Source organism: Homo sapiens, chromosome 3 (genome assembly GCF_000001405.40).
Source record: "Homo sapiens chromosome 3, GRCh38.p14 Primary Assembly".
Taxonomy (NCBI): Eukaryota; Metazoa; Chordata; class Mammalia; order Primates; family Hominidae; genus Homo; species Homo sapiens.
The window spans coordinates 32941141-32956595 of NC_000003.12; the positions used below are offsets into that span (position 1 = coordinate 32941141).

General features: G+C 43.6%; 1 protein-coding gene across 2 annotated transcripts; it reads left to right on the forward strand.

Moving 5' to 3' along the window:
• Positions 1-10503: 10503 nt before the first annotated feature.
• On the forward strand, positions 10504-15209 carry CCR4 (C-C motif chemokine receptor 4). 2 transcript variants are annotated; one of them, NM_005508.5, is made up of 2 exons: positions 10504-10550; positions 12232-15209. In NM_005508.5, exon 2 carries the CDS (start codon positions 12283-12285, stop codon positions 13363-13365), a length of 1083 nt encoding a protein of 360 aa, NP_005499.1. In that variant the 5' UTR covers positions 10504-10550; positions 12232-12282; the 3' UTR covers positions 13366-15209. The 2 variants fall into 2 exon arrangements, with proteins under 2 accessions (NP_005499.1, XP_016861176.1); XM_017005687.2 differs by having other exon boundaries at positions 12204-14171.
• Positions 15210-15455: the final 246 nt, after the last annotated feature.

Consider the following 15455-nt stretch of genomic DNA (forward strand, 5'->3'; position numbering starts at 1 on the left):
CTAATTCCAGATACAATACCAAAATGTCTGATCACCCAAGGATGCAATCCTTTAGAATATATTTTCTGTGCCAACAACCACCAATACCAATCAGGTTGTTTTTGTTGTTTTTTTTTTTAAGTTGAAGTTCTTTTGAATATTAACCCCTTGTTTGATATATGTTTGATATATAATTGGCAAATATTTTCTCCCATTCTGTGGGTTGTGTTGTCTTTTCATTTTTTTTTTTTTTTTTTTTTTTTTTTGAGATGGAGTCTTGCTCTGTTGCCTAGGCTGCAGTGCAGTGGTGTGATCTTGGCTCACTGCAAGCTCCGCCTCCCGGATTCACACCATTTTTCTGCCTCAGCCTGCCGCGTAGCTGGGACTACAGGCGCCTGCCACCACGCCTGGCTAATTTTTTGTATCTTTGGTAGAGACCGGGTTTCACTGTGTTAGCCAGGATCGTCTCGATCTCTTGACCTTGTGATCTGACTGCCTTGGCCTCCCAAAGTGCTGGGATTACAGGCATGAGCTACCACGCCTGGCCTTTTTTTTTTTTTTTTTTTTAAAGGCAGTGTCTGTCACCCAGGCTGGAGTGCAGTGGCACAGTCTTAGCTCACTGCAACCTCCACTTCTTCAGTTCAAGTGATCCTCCCACCTCAGCCTCCCAAGTAGCTAGGATTACAGGTGTGCACAACCACACCAGCTCAATTTTTTTTATTTTTAATAGAGACGGGGTTTTACCACGTTGGCCGTGCTGGTCTTGAACTCCTGACCTCAAATGATCTGCCTGCCTCAGCCTCCCAAAGTGCTGGGATTACAGGTGTGAGCCATTGTTCCCCACCTTCACTCTTTTGATGGTGCCCTTTGATGCATAGAAGTTTTAAATTTTGATGTAGTCCAATTAACCTATTTTTACTTTTATTAGCTGTACTTTTGGTACAAGAAATCACTGCCAAATCCATTGTCATGAAGTTTTTCCTCTATATTTCCCTCTAAGAATTTTATAGTTTTAGCTATTACATTTAGGTCTTTGACCCATTTCGAGTTAATTTTTATATATGATGTAAGGTTAAGGTCTAATTTTATTCTTTTGCATGTGAGTGTACAGTTTTCCTAGCATCATTTATTGAAAAGATATGCTTTCTCTATTGAATGGTCTGTCTGGCAACTTTCTCAAAAATAATTTGACCATGTCTCCCAGAGAATGTGCTAAGGGACACCATTATTATACAATGGGTATGTGACAGAGTAAAGGCAATGCAGAAAAAAATTAATTTAACCATACATATGAAGGTTTATTTCTGGGCTCTCTCTTCTATTCCATTGGTCTATGTGTCTGTCTTTGTGCCAGCACCACATTGTTTTGCTTACTGTGGCTTTGTAATAAGTTGTTTTTTTTTTTTTTTTGAGACAGAGTGTTGTTCTGTCTCCCAGGCTGGAGTGCAATGGCACAATCTCGGCTCACTGCAACCTCTGCCTCCCGGGTTCAAGTGATTCTCCCGCCTCAGCCTCCTGAATAGCTGAGATTACAGGCGCCTGCCACCACACCCAGCTAATTTTTGTATTTTTTAGTAGAGACAGGGTTTCGCCATGTTGGCCAGGCTGGTCTCGATCTCCTAACTTCAGGTGATCCACCCACCTTAGCCTCCCAAAGTGCTGGGATTACAGGCGTGAGTCACCATGCCCGGCTGTAGTAAGTTTTGAAACAGGGAAGTGTTTAACTTTGTTCTTTTCCAAAATTGTTTTGGCTATACAGGGTCCCTTGAGATTTCATATGGAATTTTAGGATGGATTTTTGTATTTCTGCAAAAAAAAAAAAAAAAGCCATTGAGATTTTCATAGATATGGCATTTAATCTGTAGATTGCTTTGGATAGTATTGACTTCTTAACAATATTAAGTCTTCTAATACGTGAACACAGGATGTCTTTCCATTTATTTGTCTGGTCTTTAATTTCTTTCAACAAAGTTTTGTAGTTTTCAGTGTATATGTCTTTTACCTCCTTGGTTAAGTTTATTTCTAAGTATTTTATTCTTTTGATGCCATTGTAAATGGAATTTTAAAAAATTCCCTTTTCAGATTGTTCATTGTTAGTGTATAAAATGCAACTGGGAGGCTGAGGCAGGAGAATCACTTTAACTCAGGAGGCGGAGGTTGCGGTGAGCCGAGAGCACGCCATTGCACTCCAGCCTGGGCAACAAGAGCGAAACTCCATTAAAAAAAAAAATTTCCCTTCTTTTAATGAGCTAAGGATTTGCTTCTTTTTCCCCCTCAAAATCATGAATATTTTTATTTATTCATATTTTTAAGACAGCGTCTTGCTGTCACCCACGCTGGAGTGCAGTGACACAAACATGGCTCACTGCAGCCTTGACTTCCCATACTCAAGCGACCCTCCTGCCTCAGCCTACCAACTAGCTGGGACTACAGGTGCGCAACACTACTTCTGGCTAATTTTTGTAATTTTTTTTTTTTTTGAGAGATGGGGTTTCACCATGTTGCCCAGGCTGGTCTTGAACTCCTGGGCTCAAGTGATCTGCCTGCCACAAGTGCTGAGATTACAGGTGTGAGCGACTGTGCCTGGCCGTTGTTTTTTTTTTTTAATTGACAATTATATATATGGTGTACAATATGATGCTTTGAAATATATATACATTGTGGAATGGCTAAAGCAAGCTAATTAACATACACATTACCTCATATATATATATTATATATATATATTCTTTGGTGAGAACACTTAAATGTACTCTCTTAATTTTCAAGTATATAATATATGGTTATTAACTATAATCACCATGTTGTACAATAGATCTCTTGAATTTCTGCCTGCTGGTCTAACTGAAATTTTGTATCTTTTGACCCACATCTATCTAACCCAGCACCCCCAATCCCTGCTATCATTCTACTCTCTGCTTCTGTAAGTTCTTCTTTTTCAGATTTCACATATAAATAAGATCATGTGGGATTTCTGTGCCTGGCTTATTTCACTTAACATAATATGTCCTCCAGGTTCACCTATGTTGTCACAAATGACAGGTTTTGTTTTTCTTATTCAATGCTTTTTCTGAGACATAGGGCTTTTCTCTCTTACTCTGCTAATATGGTGATTTGTATTAATAGATTCACTAATATTAACTTTGCATTTCTGAAATGAAGTTTATCATTATGTATTTTTTCAACTATAGTGAATTTGGTGTGTTAATATTTTGTGTAGGAAATTTGCATTAATATATTCAAGTGAAATTCAGTAATTTTTTCTTTGGTTTTGTTATCAACGTTATATTAACTCTATCAAATGAGTTTATTTTTATTTATTTATTTGGAGGCAGAGTCGCAGAGTCTCGCTCTGTCACCCAGACTGGGGTGCATTAGCATGATCTTGGCTCACTGCAACCTCCGCCTCTTGGGTTCAAGCAATTCTTGTGCCTCAGCCTCTCAATTACCTGGAATTACAGGTGTGTGCCACCACATCCAGGTAATTTTTGTATTTTCAGTAGAGATGGGGTTTTTGCCATGTTGGCCAGGCTGGTCTCAAACTCCTGACCTCAAGTGATCTGCCCGCCTCAGCCTCCCAAAGTGCTGGGATTACAGGCTCAAGCCACCGCGCCCGGCAATCAGAGTTTAGTGTGTTATTTTTTGTATTTCTGGGGGAAAAATATGCATGAGATCAGAATTTTACAGAAATTCCCCCTTATTGCTTTCCTCAGTTTCAGGTAGATGAGGTCAACTATGGTCCAAAAATATTAAATTGAAAATTCCAGGCGGGGTGCATGGCTCACGCCTGTTATCTCAGCACTTTGGGAGGCCAAGGCGGGCGGATCACCTGAGGTCAGGAGTTTGAGACCAGCCTGAGCAACATGGTGAGACCCCGTCTCTACTAAAAAATACAAAAATTAACTGGGCATGGTGGCGGGCGCCTGTAATCCCAGTTACTAAGGAGGCTGAGGCAGGAGAATCCCTTGAACCCGGGAGGCAGAGGTTTCACTGAGCCGAGATCGTGCCATTGCACTCCCGCCTGGGTAACAGAGCAAGACTCTGTCTCAAAAAAAAAGAAAAGAAAAGAAAATTCCAGAAATAAACAATTCTTTAAGTTTTAAGTAGCATGCCATTCTGAGTAGCATGTTGGAATCTTAGTCATCCCACAGGAGATGTGAATCATCCCTTTGTCCGGCATATCCATACTGCATATGTTACCTGCCCATTAATCATGGAGTAGTCATCTGAGTTACCTGATGAAAAAATATAGTACTATACATAGGGTTTGGCACTATCTGTGGTTTCAGGTGCCCACTAGGGGTCTTGGAACGTATCTCCCAAGGATAAGGGAGGATTACTATATGTACCTTGAATGTTTGATGGAATTTGCCTGTAAAATCATCTTCTGTTAGTTTGATTTTGTGCAATGCATTTAAACTACTGATAAGTGGTTTCTTTCCTTTTCTTTTCTTTTCTTTTTTTTTTTTTTCTGACCCAGGGTCTCACTTTGTCACCCAGGATGGAGTGCAGTGGCAAGATCTCCGCTCACTGCAACCTCCGCCTCCCAGGTTCAAGCGATTCTCTTGCCTCAGCCTCTTGAGTAGCTGGGATTACAGGTGCCTGCGACCATGCGCAGCTAAGTTTTGTATTTTTAGTAGAGACGGGGTTTCGCCATGTGGGTCAGGCTTGCTTTGAACTCCTGACCTCAGGTGATCCAGCAGCCTTGGCTTCCCAAAGTGGTGGGATTACAGGCGTGAGCCACCGCGCCCGGCCTAGTTTTTGTTTCTAATCGCTAGTCTGTATTTGCAGTTTTAAGTTTCCTTTTTTCTCTCTTCTGCTTCTTTGCCTATCTTCCTAGAGGTATGCCAATTACATTAGTGTTTCCAAATACTTTAGTGGGCTTATTTTACTTTTGATTTCTGTTCTTATATGTGTCATTTTTTTTTTCATTTTCTTTTCTTTTCTTTTTATTTTTTGAGATGGAGTTTCGCTCTTGTTGCCCAGGCTGGAGTGCAATGGCGTGATCTTGGCTCACCGCAACCTCTGCCTCCTGGCTTAAAGTGATTCTCCTCCCTCAGCCTCCTGAGTGGCTGAGATTACAGGCATGCGCCACCATGCCTGGCTAATTTTGTATTTTTAGTAGAGACGGGGTTTCTCTATGTTGGTCAGGCTGGTCTCAAACTCCCGACCTCAGGTGATCTGCCTGCCTCAGACTCCCAAAGTGCTGGGATTACAGGCGTGAGCCACTGTGCCCGGACTGTTTTCTTTTCTTTTTTTTTCTTTTTTTTTAAGAGATGGAATCTCGCTATGTTACCCCGGAACTCTTGGCCTCAAGCGATCCTCCCATGCCTCAGTCTCCTGAGTAGCTGGAATTACAGTATGAGCCACCACGCCCAGCTGCTCTTACATTTATTGTTTTCTTCCTTACACCTCCTTTGAATTTATTCTGCTCTTCTTTTTCCTACTGCTTCCTTTTCTTTCTTTCTTTTTTTTTTAAACTTATTTATTATTTTTTTCTTTGGAAATTTTCTAGAAAATTACTGATTCTTTTTCTAGTTAAACAAGTCATTAATTTTTAGTCTTTCTTCTCTTAAACATAAACATTTAAACATTCTCTTAATTATAAACATTTAAGGCCAGGCATGGTGGCTCACGCCTGTAATCCCAGCATTTTGGGAGGCCGAGGGGAGTGGATCACTTGAGGTCAGGAGTTTGAGACCAGCCTGACCAACATGTTGAAACCCTGTGTCTACTAAAAATACAAAAATTAGCAGGGCATGGTGTTGCTGGCCTGTAGTCCCAGCTACTCTGGAGGCTGAGACAGGAGAATCACTTGAACCCAGGAGGTGGAGGTTGCAGTGAGCCGAGATGGTGCCACTGCACTCTAGCCTGGGTGACAGAGCAAGACTCCGTCTCAAAGCAAGCAAGCAAACAAACCAAAAAAACCATTTAAAGTCTTAATTTTTCTATGGCCCAATTTAGCTACCCACCACAACATTGATGAGTGATATTTTATTTTTATTCACTTATATGTGTTTTCTGTTTTCCATTGTTGTATCTTCTTTGACATTCAGGTCACATGAAAATGTGTTGTCTAATTTCCAAATGTGTAGGAATTTTTAGTTATCTTTTAAAAAATTAACTAGTAATTTAGTTGTTTGCAGTCTTCTATTTCCTTACCAAAGTTTTGTCTGTTTATTCGGACCTCCTCTGTAATATAGTTGTTGTTGGTTTTTAAATGCTGTCTTGAACCAGTTTTAAGGCGCTGGCTAAAGGCCAGTCAGTTCCCCTTTTTGAACAGCTAAGTTCACACCCCAATCACTTCTCTTATCAGACCCTCATACTCAGGGGCCACTATGCATTAGCCCTAATTGCCCTGAGGCCAGGTACCAGGCACTAGGGACAGCCCCTTTGCTCTGAACACACAAAATTATTCAAAATAGCCAATGGGCAGAAAGCCCTTGAAACCTAAGTAACCTCACATGCTTGCCACACATAAACTGCTAAGTAACCTCACATGCTTGCCATACATTAACTGCCCCTACAGCTCCGGCTCATTGTTACCTTGTCCCTGTTACTCCTGGTGTGGCCCTGCCTGGCAGGCTTCTCATTTTGAGCTGTAAATAACAGGTTTGAAGGCCTAATCACCGTAGCTCTGCAGCTGAGTCCTGTGGTGCTCCTCTTGAAGGCACAATTTCAGATATGCTGGTCCCTGTGGGTTGGTATGGTGCCAGAGCCTGGGCAATGTACCTTGATGACTTTGACCTTGAAATAAGGCTTGATGCACCAGGGGGCGCTGTAGTCTCATGTTCCAGCTTTCCTTCGTGTTGGAAGCATGCGCTGTACTGTGTACCAACATGGTTTGGGGTAGGCTTTGCAGAGTCTTTTGTTGGCCTGCTCCTTTCTGCTTAGGTTTCAGAAACGAAGCCTAATGGAACATGTGTCCATGTAAATGTCAGGAGTGTGAGTGTAGCCCTGACAGTGTTCCTCACTGGCTGGGTTGCCTTGAGCATACCACCTCCCGTCTCTGGGTTCCTACTTCTCCATCTATGAAATGGGCATTAATAAAACAATGATTCTGGCTGGGAGTGGTGACTCATGCCTGTAACCTCAGCACTTTGGGAGGCCGAGGCGGGTGGACATCTGAGGTCAGGAGTTCGAGACCCGCCTGAACAAAATGGTGAAACCCCATCTCTACTAAAAATACAAAAAAATTAGCCAGGTGTGGTGGCAGGCGCCTGTAATCCCAGCTACTTGGGAGGCTGAGGCAGGAGAATCCCTTGAACTGGGGAGGTGGATGTTGCAGTGAGGCAAGGTTGTGCCACTGCACTCCAGGCTGGGCAACAAAAGCGAAACTCCGTCTTGGGGGGAGAAAAAGACTCTTTTTTGGGGGCTGAGGTCCTTTTTTTTGGATGTTTAATTTTGAAACCCTTACTGAAGGGACACCTACTTAGTGTTTCTCCAGGACAGTAATGTTGTTACTTTGCCAACCTGAAGACTGACTGTCCCCAGGGCAGTAACCTCTGCAACTTGGAAACCTGAAACCTGTTTTTTACCTGAACCCTGACTTGGAAATTGAATGTGGCCCAAAAAGTCTAAATCCAAATATTTCCTGGGATCCCAGCAATGGCCAAGGGCATGCTCTGGGCTAGGCTATTTCAAGAGAGGAAGCTATTCCTGTGTATAGTATTTATCCTACTCATTTCTAATCACTGCTGCTGCGTTGTTGAACACCTGTATATACCAGCCACTATGCTAAGTGCTTTACAAATATTAGCTCATTTAGTTCCCTCACAGTCCTCAAGTATTATCATCCCTTTTTACAGATAAGAAAATTTAGGTTTACACAGCTAGTAAGTGGTGATACTGAGATCCAAACTCAGACTCAAAGCAAGTCCTCTCGACCAATGGGGCCACTAGAGCTCACACTCTGCCTCACTCATGGGACCAGGATGCATGTCTCATGGCCAGGTTCACTCAAGGGAGGACTAACTGGCTCTCCAGGGATCATCTATAGACCCATATGGATCAATGCTCATTTATGATGATTTGGACCTCTAGATAGCGTATGTTCTAGAACCTTAACACTGCCCCCACCCAGGGCAGAACCCATGGAGATGTAGGCGTTGTGCTCAGATGAACTTGCCCAGGTCCCTGCCGCGGCACGTGCTTTCCTGCCCTTCACACTTCGCCCCCGGCCAGCTCTCTAACTTGTACCTCAAAGTCTATAATTTAATGGCAGAAACTTCTTCAGGCCCCATGTTTCTGGAAATATGTTCATTTTATAAATTACTCTGTATAATGGGCATAGATTAGCTGGTCAAATACACGTGGGACATTTTCATTGCAAATCCTCCTTCCAGAGGCTCAGGATGATATCAGCATTGGAAGGCCCCCAGGAAGCATTGCAGGATGGAACTGTGTTTAACCTGAACCCAAGCCCAGCATTCCCTAGACCTACCTGACCACACATCCCCATTTCTCTTTTGCAGGCTATCCATGAATCTGGTTCCACAGTTTATACTCTGGGGAACATTGCTCTAGCTCATTGCTCTAGCTCAGGATTTCTCAACCTCAGCACCATTGATCTTCTTGGTCAGACAACTCTTTGCTGTGGTGGGCTGTCCTGTGCATTGTAGGACTTTAGCAGCATTCCTGGACTCTACCCATTAGAAACCAGTAGCAGGCTGGGTGCGGTGGCTCATGCCTATAATCCCAGCACTTTGGGAGGCTGAGGCAGGCAGATCACCTGAGGTCAGGAGTTCAAGACCATCCTGGCCAACATGGTGAAACCCCGTCTCTACTGAAATACAAAAAATTAGCCGGACATGGTGGCGCGTGCCTGTAGTCCCAGCTACTTGGGAGGCTGAGGCAGGGGAGTTGCTTGAACCCGGGAGGCGGAGGTTGCAGTGAGCTGAGATCATGCCACTGCACTCCAGCCTGGTGACAGAGCAAGACTCCTTCTCAAAAAAAAAAAAAAAAAGCCAGTAGTAACTCCCTCCCACCCCAAGCTAAAATGTCTCCAGATATTGCTGTATGCCTCAAGGAGGCAAGGAGCCTGAGTTGAGTGCCTCTACTCTCTACTCTAACTCGTGCATTCTCAGTAGAGGCAATATTGCCCCCAAGATAAAACTTGGCTCTTGGAGGGAGAAAAATTTCATACTCATTTTATGTATAAAGCACAGATATACATACACTGTATAAATAGATATATGGTATGTTTGTAGCATTAAAATTTTATGAGGGAGTGTTAGGAAAAAAAGTCTCAAAAGACTCCTTGGGGCAAGTGATAATGAAAAAAAAGAAGGGGTTCCCTAACACCATTCTAGCTCAGTGTTTTAATTTCTATTTATGCCAATTCCTTAGAAAGAATGATCTTTATGGCTCTTTTAAGCTGAATCAAAGAGCTAAGCAACAGTTGAAACACAGGGAAAGCATCTGGAAGTTGCCAAAAAGCTGAGGCTATGAGAGACTTAGGGCTCATGTCAGCCCCTCGCTTATGACTGCTACCCACATCCAAAGTGAAGATCAAGACCTCAGCCAAGACCACTGCCAATGAAGCTCCGCAATCCCCAAGCAGAAGGCGCTTGGGTGAGGGGTCTTCCTGACTCAAAAGGACTTGAAGCTATGTTGCCAGGCCACTTCACACTGGTTTGAGGCCATGTCAACTATTGAATCAAAGAATGTGGTTGGCTGATGCCTTCCAAGTCACTCACAGACACATACATTTGGACAAATTTTTCTCTTCTCTCTTCTTGAATATCCTTTTTCTTGACTATCTCTGGCCTTCCTTCTCACCCTGGCCTCTCAGATCCCAGTTGTCAGGAGAACATTGCACATCTTGATTGCTGGCCCCTGCATATCCATGATGAGAAACTAGCAAACAGGTTGCTGATCCAAAATGTAGAGATCATTGCTACCGCATATGGCCAGTTAAATGGAATTTTTTTTTTTAAACTAAAAAGCGAAAAAGGAGTGGCTGATTCCTGTAATCCCAGTGCTTTAGGAAGCTGAGGTGGGAGGATTGCTTGAGGCCAGTAGTTCAAGATGAGCCTGGGCAATATAGCAAGACCCCTATCTCCCCAAAAATTAAAATTAGTCAGTCATGGTGGCTTGCACCTCTAGTCTCAGCTACTTGGGAGACTAAGGCAGGAGGATCACTTGAGCCCAGGAGTTCAAGGTTACGGTGAGCTATGATTGCACCACTGAACACCAGTCTGGGTGACAGAGTGAGACCCTGTTTCTTTAAAAAAATCTCTTTTTTAAAAACCAACAAATACATTTTTGTATTTTTAAAAAAACTAAAAATCTTTTTTAAAAAGAAAATGACTTCATTTTTTTTCTTAATCTTTTTTTGGCACATCTTCTTGGCCTTCGGTCTTGGGAAATGACTAAGAATCATTTTCTGCTTCCTACTTCTATCAAAAAACCCCACTTGAACTTAGTACAGTTGGGTGAGGGAGATAACTCGTGCTCACAGGAAGCCACGCACCCTTGAAAGGCACCGGGTCCTTCTTAGCATCGTGCTTCCTGAGCAAGCCTGGCATTGCCTCACAGACCTTCCTCAGAGCCGCTTTCAGAAAAGCAAGGTAAGCAGGGACGGGGACATTCCCAGGGTCTTGGGTCGCACACTGCTTTCTGGACCTGGCTGAGATGCTCAGGCCCCTCACGAGTCTAGGGCTTACACTTGGCACCTACCTTGCAGCCCACACACCTTCTACCTGTCCCCACACCCTCTGAGCCCTCATCTGATGGGCACTAATTTATGCAGGACTCTCTTCCTGCACACATCTGGCCTGAGTCCACATGCCCCAAATAAATAGATCATTTTCATAAAAAATATACACTTGTCTGCTTCTTGCTTCTAGCAAGACTCCCAGGCAAGAAATACCACACACGCAAGGCCTACAGAATAATTCCAGACACTTACCAGCTGTGTCTCCTGGCTTTTTGTTCTCCTGATAATTTCCTAACTCCTCAGCCTTGTTTATGCCTTTCATTTTCACTGGTAAAATGGTGGAGAAAGACTAGAATTGTTAGTCATTCAACAAACTTTTTTGGAGACTCTGTGATGTAACAGGTGTTCAGTATCTATTTGCATGAGTAAACCAAAATCTTTTTTCTTTCTTTTTTTCTTTTTCTTTTCTTTCCTTTTTATTTTTTATTTTTTTTGAGACAGGATTTCACTCTGCTGCCCAGGTTGAAGTGCAATGGTGCCATCATAGCTCACTGCGCCTTGAACTCCTGGGCTCAAGGGATCCTCCTGCCTCAGCCTCCTGAGTAGCTGGTACTATCAGCACGTACCACCACACCCAGCTAACTTTTAAAACAATTTTTTGTAGAGACAGGGTCTCCTTATGTTGCTCACGCTGGCATGGAGCTCCTTGGCTCAAGTGATCCTCCCTCCTCGGCCTCCCGACGTGCTGGGATTATAGGCGTGGGCCACTGCACACCTGGCTTCAAAAGCCCTTTCTTGAGAAACACAGTTTGGGCATTGGGTGTGTGGTGGTGGGGGTGTGGGGAGAGATCGAATGTGAATTTACTGACGAATGTGAAAAGGATTTTAACAAGGAATGTGAGGGTCCCACAAAAGCCTCAAGAAGGAAGCAAGGGAGTGGCCTTGAGTCGGAAAGCCCTTCAGCCCTGAATTGCTCTGATACACATGTCAGCATGTGATTAATTTTAAGAAGATTTCAACCTCTTTATCTGCCAATTTAGATAGGAAGTGAAGGTGGTTGGGGAGGTAGAGGTTTTATTTCTGGCTGTGATGTGTGTTTTCTAGATCCATCAGGTGAATTCCCACTCTAATAGGATTCTGTGCGTAGAATTGATTTTTACGTGCAGTTTGATGATGATCATGATCATATAAAATACACCCAATTGAGAATTGTTCAACTGATTTTGTCATCCCTGAAAGTGATTTCAGTAACCCCAGACTATGAAATATCTTTTTGAAACACATCCTCAAAGAACACCTGCTTGAAAGGGGGTTTTACGATCCTCACTTACAAATGAGAGAACTGAAGCTCCTGGCAGAGAGGTAAGAAAATTAGTGAGTGCCCAAGCTGGAATCTGAAACAAATCTTTCTGCCTCCAAAGCCCAAAATTATTTCGTCTGGCTGCAGGGCCCTGTGAGTAATCGAGCCCTTCATCTTGGGAAAGGCATATACAGACCTGGAGCAAAACAGTACGCAGCCATGCTCTGCATTTAGCAATACTTTGGTTTATTTTTGTTCTCACAGAAATCTCCTTTGCTCTTCCCCTCATTAGCTGCTTCTGGTTGGGCCCAGACCTGCCTTGAGGAGCCTGTAGAGTTAAAAAATGAACCCCACGGATATAGCAGACACCACCCTCGATGAAAGCATATACAGCAATTACTATCTGTATGAAAGTATCCCCAAGCCTTGCACCAAAGAAGGCATCAAGGCATTTGGGGAGCTCTTCCTGCCCCCACTGTATTCCTTGGTTTTTGTATTTGGTCTGCTTGGAAATTCTGTGGTGGTTCTGGTCCTGTTCAAATACAAGCGGCTCAGGTCCATGACTGATGTGTACCTGCTCAACCTTGCCATCTCGGATCTGCTCTTCGTGTTTTCCCTCCCTTTTTGGGGCTACTATGCAGCAGACCAGTGGGTTTTTGGGCTAGGTCTGTGCAAGATGATTTCCTGGATGTACTTGGTGGGCTTTTACAGTGGCATATTCTTTGTCATGCTCATGAGCATTGATAGATACCTGGCAATTGTGCACGCGGTGTTTTCCTTGAGGGCAAGGACCTTGACTTATGGGGTCATCACCAGTTTGGCTACATGGTCAGTGGCTGTGTTCGCCTCCCTTCCTGGCTTTCTGTTCAGCACTTGTTATACTGAGCGCAACCATACCTACTGCAAAACCAAGTACTCTCTCAACTCCACGACGTGGAAGGTTCTCAGCTCCCTGGAAATCAACATTCTCGGATTGGTGATCCCCTTAGGGATCATGCTGTTTTGCTACTCCATGATCATCAGGACCTTGCAGCATTGTAAAAATGAGAAGAAGAACAAGGCGGTGAAGATGATCTTTGCCGTGGTGGTCCTCTTCCTTGGGTTCTGGACACCTTACAACATAGTGCTCTTCCTAGAGACCCTGGTGGAGCTAGAAGTCCTTCAGGACTGCACCTTTGAAAGATACTTGGACTATGCCATCCAGGCCACAGAAACTCTGGCTTTTGTTCACTGCTGCCTTAATCCCATCATCTACTTTTTTCTGGGGGAGAAATTTCGCAAGTACATCCTACAGCTCTTCAAAACCTGCAGGGGCCTTTTTGTGCTCTGCCAATACTGTGGGCTCCTCCAAATTTACTCTGCTGACACCCCCAGCTCATCTTACACGCAGTCCACCATGGATCATGATCTCCATGATGCTCTGTAGAAAAATGAAATGGTGAAATGCAGAGTCAATGAACTTTCCACATTCAGAGCTTACTTAAAATTGTATTTTAGTAAGAGATTCCTGAGCCAGTGTCAGGAGGAAGGCTTACACCCACAGTGGAAAGACAGCTTCTCATCCTGCAGGCAGCTTTTTCTCTCCCACTAGACAAGTCCAGCCTGGCAAGGGTTCACCTGGGCTGAGGCATCCTTCCTCACACCAGGCTTGCCTGCAGGCATGAGTCAGTCTGATGAGAACTCTGAGCAGTGCTTGAATGAAGTTGTAGGTAATATTGCAAGGCAAAGACTATTCCCTTCTAACCTGAACTGATGGGTTTCTCCAGAGGGAATTGCAGAGTACTGGCTGATGGAGTAAATCGCTACCTTTTGCTGTGGCAAATGGGCCCTCTAATTAATTTCTTGCTTTTGCGGAACAATATAGATAACTGTTTTTCTAATAACATATCTCAGGCAAAGTATATTCCATTGAGCCAGATGTATGAAGAAACAATTAGCGAAGTGATGAAACCAGATCTCAATTATTTATTGTAAAGGATTATCTGTTAATTGAAACCAAACTTTTTATACTGATATAAGGGTAAGGATATGAAGACATTAGCCAAGGTCTGCTTTCCAAACGTGAACTACAAGGCATTCAAAATCCAAACATATTTATGAAAATTCAAACACAGTTTCTCACTTGTTTGTGGACATGTTTTGTTCTAATTTTAACAGAGGAATATTAAAAAATTTTAAATAGGCTGGGCACGGTGGCCTGTAATCCCAGCACTGTGGGAGGCCAAGGTGGGCGGATCACCTGAGGTCAGGAGTTCGAGACCAGCCTGGCCAACATGGAGAAACCCTGTCTCTACTAAAAAATACAAAATTAGCCAGGTGTGGTGGCGCATGCCTGTAATCCCAGCTACTCAGGAGGCTGAGGCTGGAGAATAACTTGAATCCGGGAGGTGGAGGTTGCGGTGAGCCGAGATCGCGCCATTGTACTCCAACCTGGGCAAAAAGAGCGAAACTCTGTCTCAAAAAAAAAAAAAAAAAATTAAATAATACATAGGCCAAGAATACATTTATTTGAGGTCATTTACTTGTTTTTTTTTTTTTTTTTTTTTTTGAGATGGAATCTTGCTCTGTCACCCAGTCTGGAGTGCAGTGGCGCGATCTCGGCTCACTGCAAGCTCTGCCTCACGGGTTCGCACCATTCTCCTGCCTCAGCCTCCCAAGTAGGTGGGACTACAGGCACCTGCCCCCATGCCTGGCTAATTTTTTGTATTTTCAGTAGAGATGGGGTTTCACCATGTTAGCAAGGATGGTTTTAATCTCCTGACCTCGTGATCCACCCGCCTCGGCCTCCCAAAGTGCTGGGATTACAGGTGTGAGCCATCACGCCCGGCCACTTGTTTATTTTTTATTTTATTTTATTTTATTTTTGAGATGGAGTCTCACTCTGTCACCCAAGCTGGAGTGCAGTGGCACTCGGTTCACTGCAAAGTCTGCCTCCCAGGTTCAAGCGATTCTCCTGCCTCAGCTTCTCAAGCAGCTGGGATTAGAGGTGTGCACCACTACGCCAGGCTAATTTTTGTATTTTTAGTAGAGATGGGGTTTCACCATATTGGCCAGGCTAGTCTTGAACTCCTGACCTCAGGTGATCTGCCTGCTTCAGCCTCCCAAAGTGCTGGGATTACAGGCGTGAGCCACCTCGCCCAGCCAAGGTCTTTTACTTGTTTATAAACAGTCTCTTCATAATTAAAATTAAGGATTAATAAAGTATGACAATACCTCCTTAATCATTTTGAAGTGCCTGCTATCAATTGAAATAAAAACAATCAACTAAAAGTTATTGTTGACACTGTATAAATATGGTTGTTAAAAAATTATGAAATTGTGAAAAGTGTCATCCTCTCTTAAAATATTGGCCCTAGTTTTTTGTTTTTGTTTTTGTTTTTGAGACAGAGTTTTGCTCTTGTCGCCCAGGCTGGAGTGCAATGGCACGATCTTGGCTCACTGCAACTCCGCCTCCTGGGTTCAAGTGATTCTCCTGCTTCAGCCTCCCAAGTAGCTGGGATTACAGGCGCCTGCCAC

Excerpts from the sequence above, each read along its gene's own strand:
- CCR4 (NM_005508.5), top strand. The coding sequence starts at position 12,283 with ATGAACCCCACGGATATAGCAGACACCACCCTCGATGAAAGCATATAC.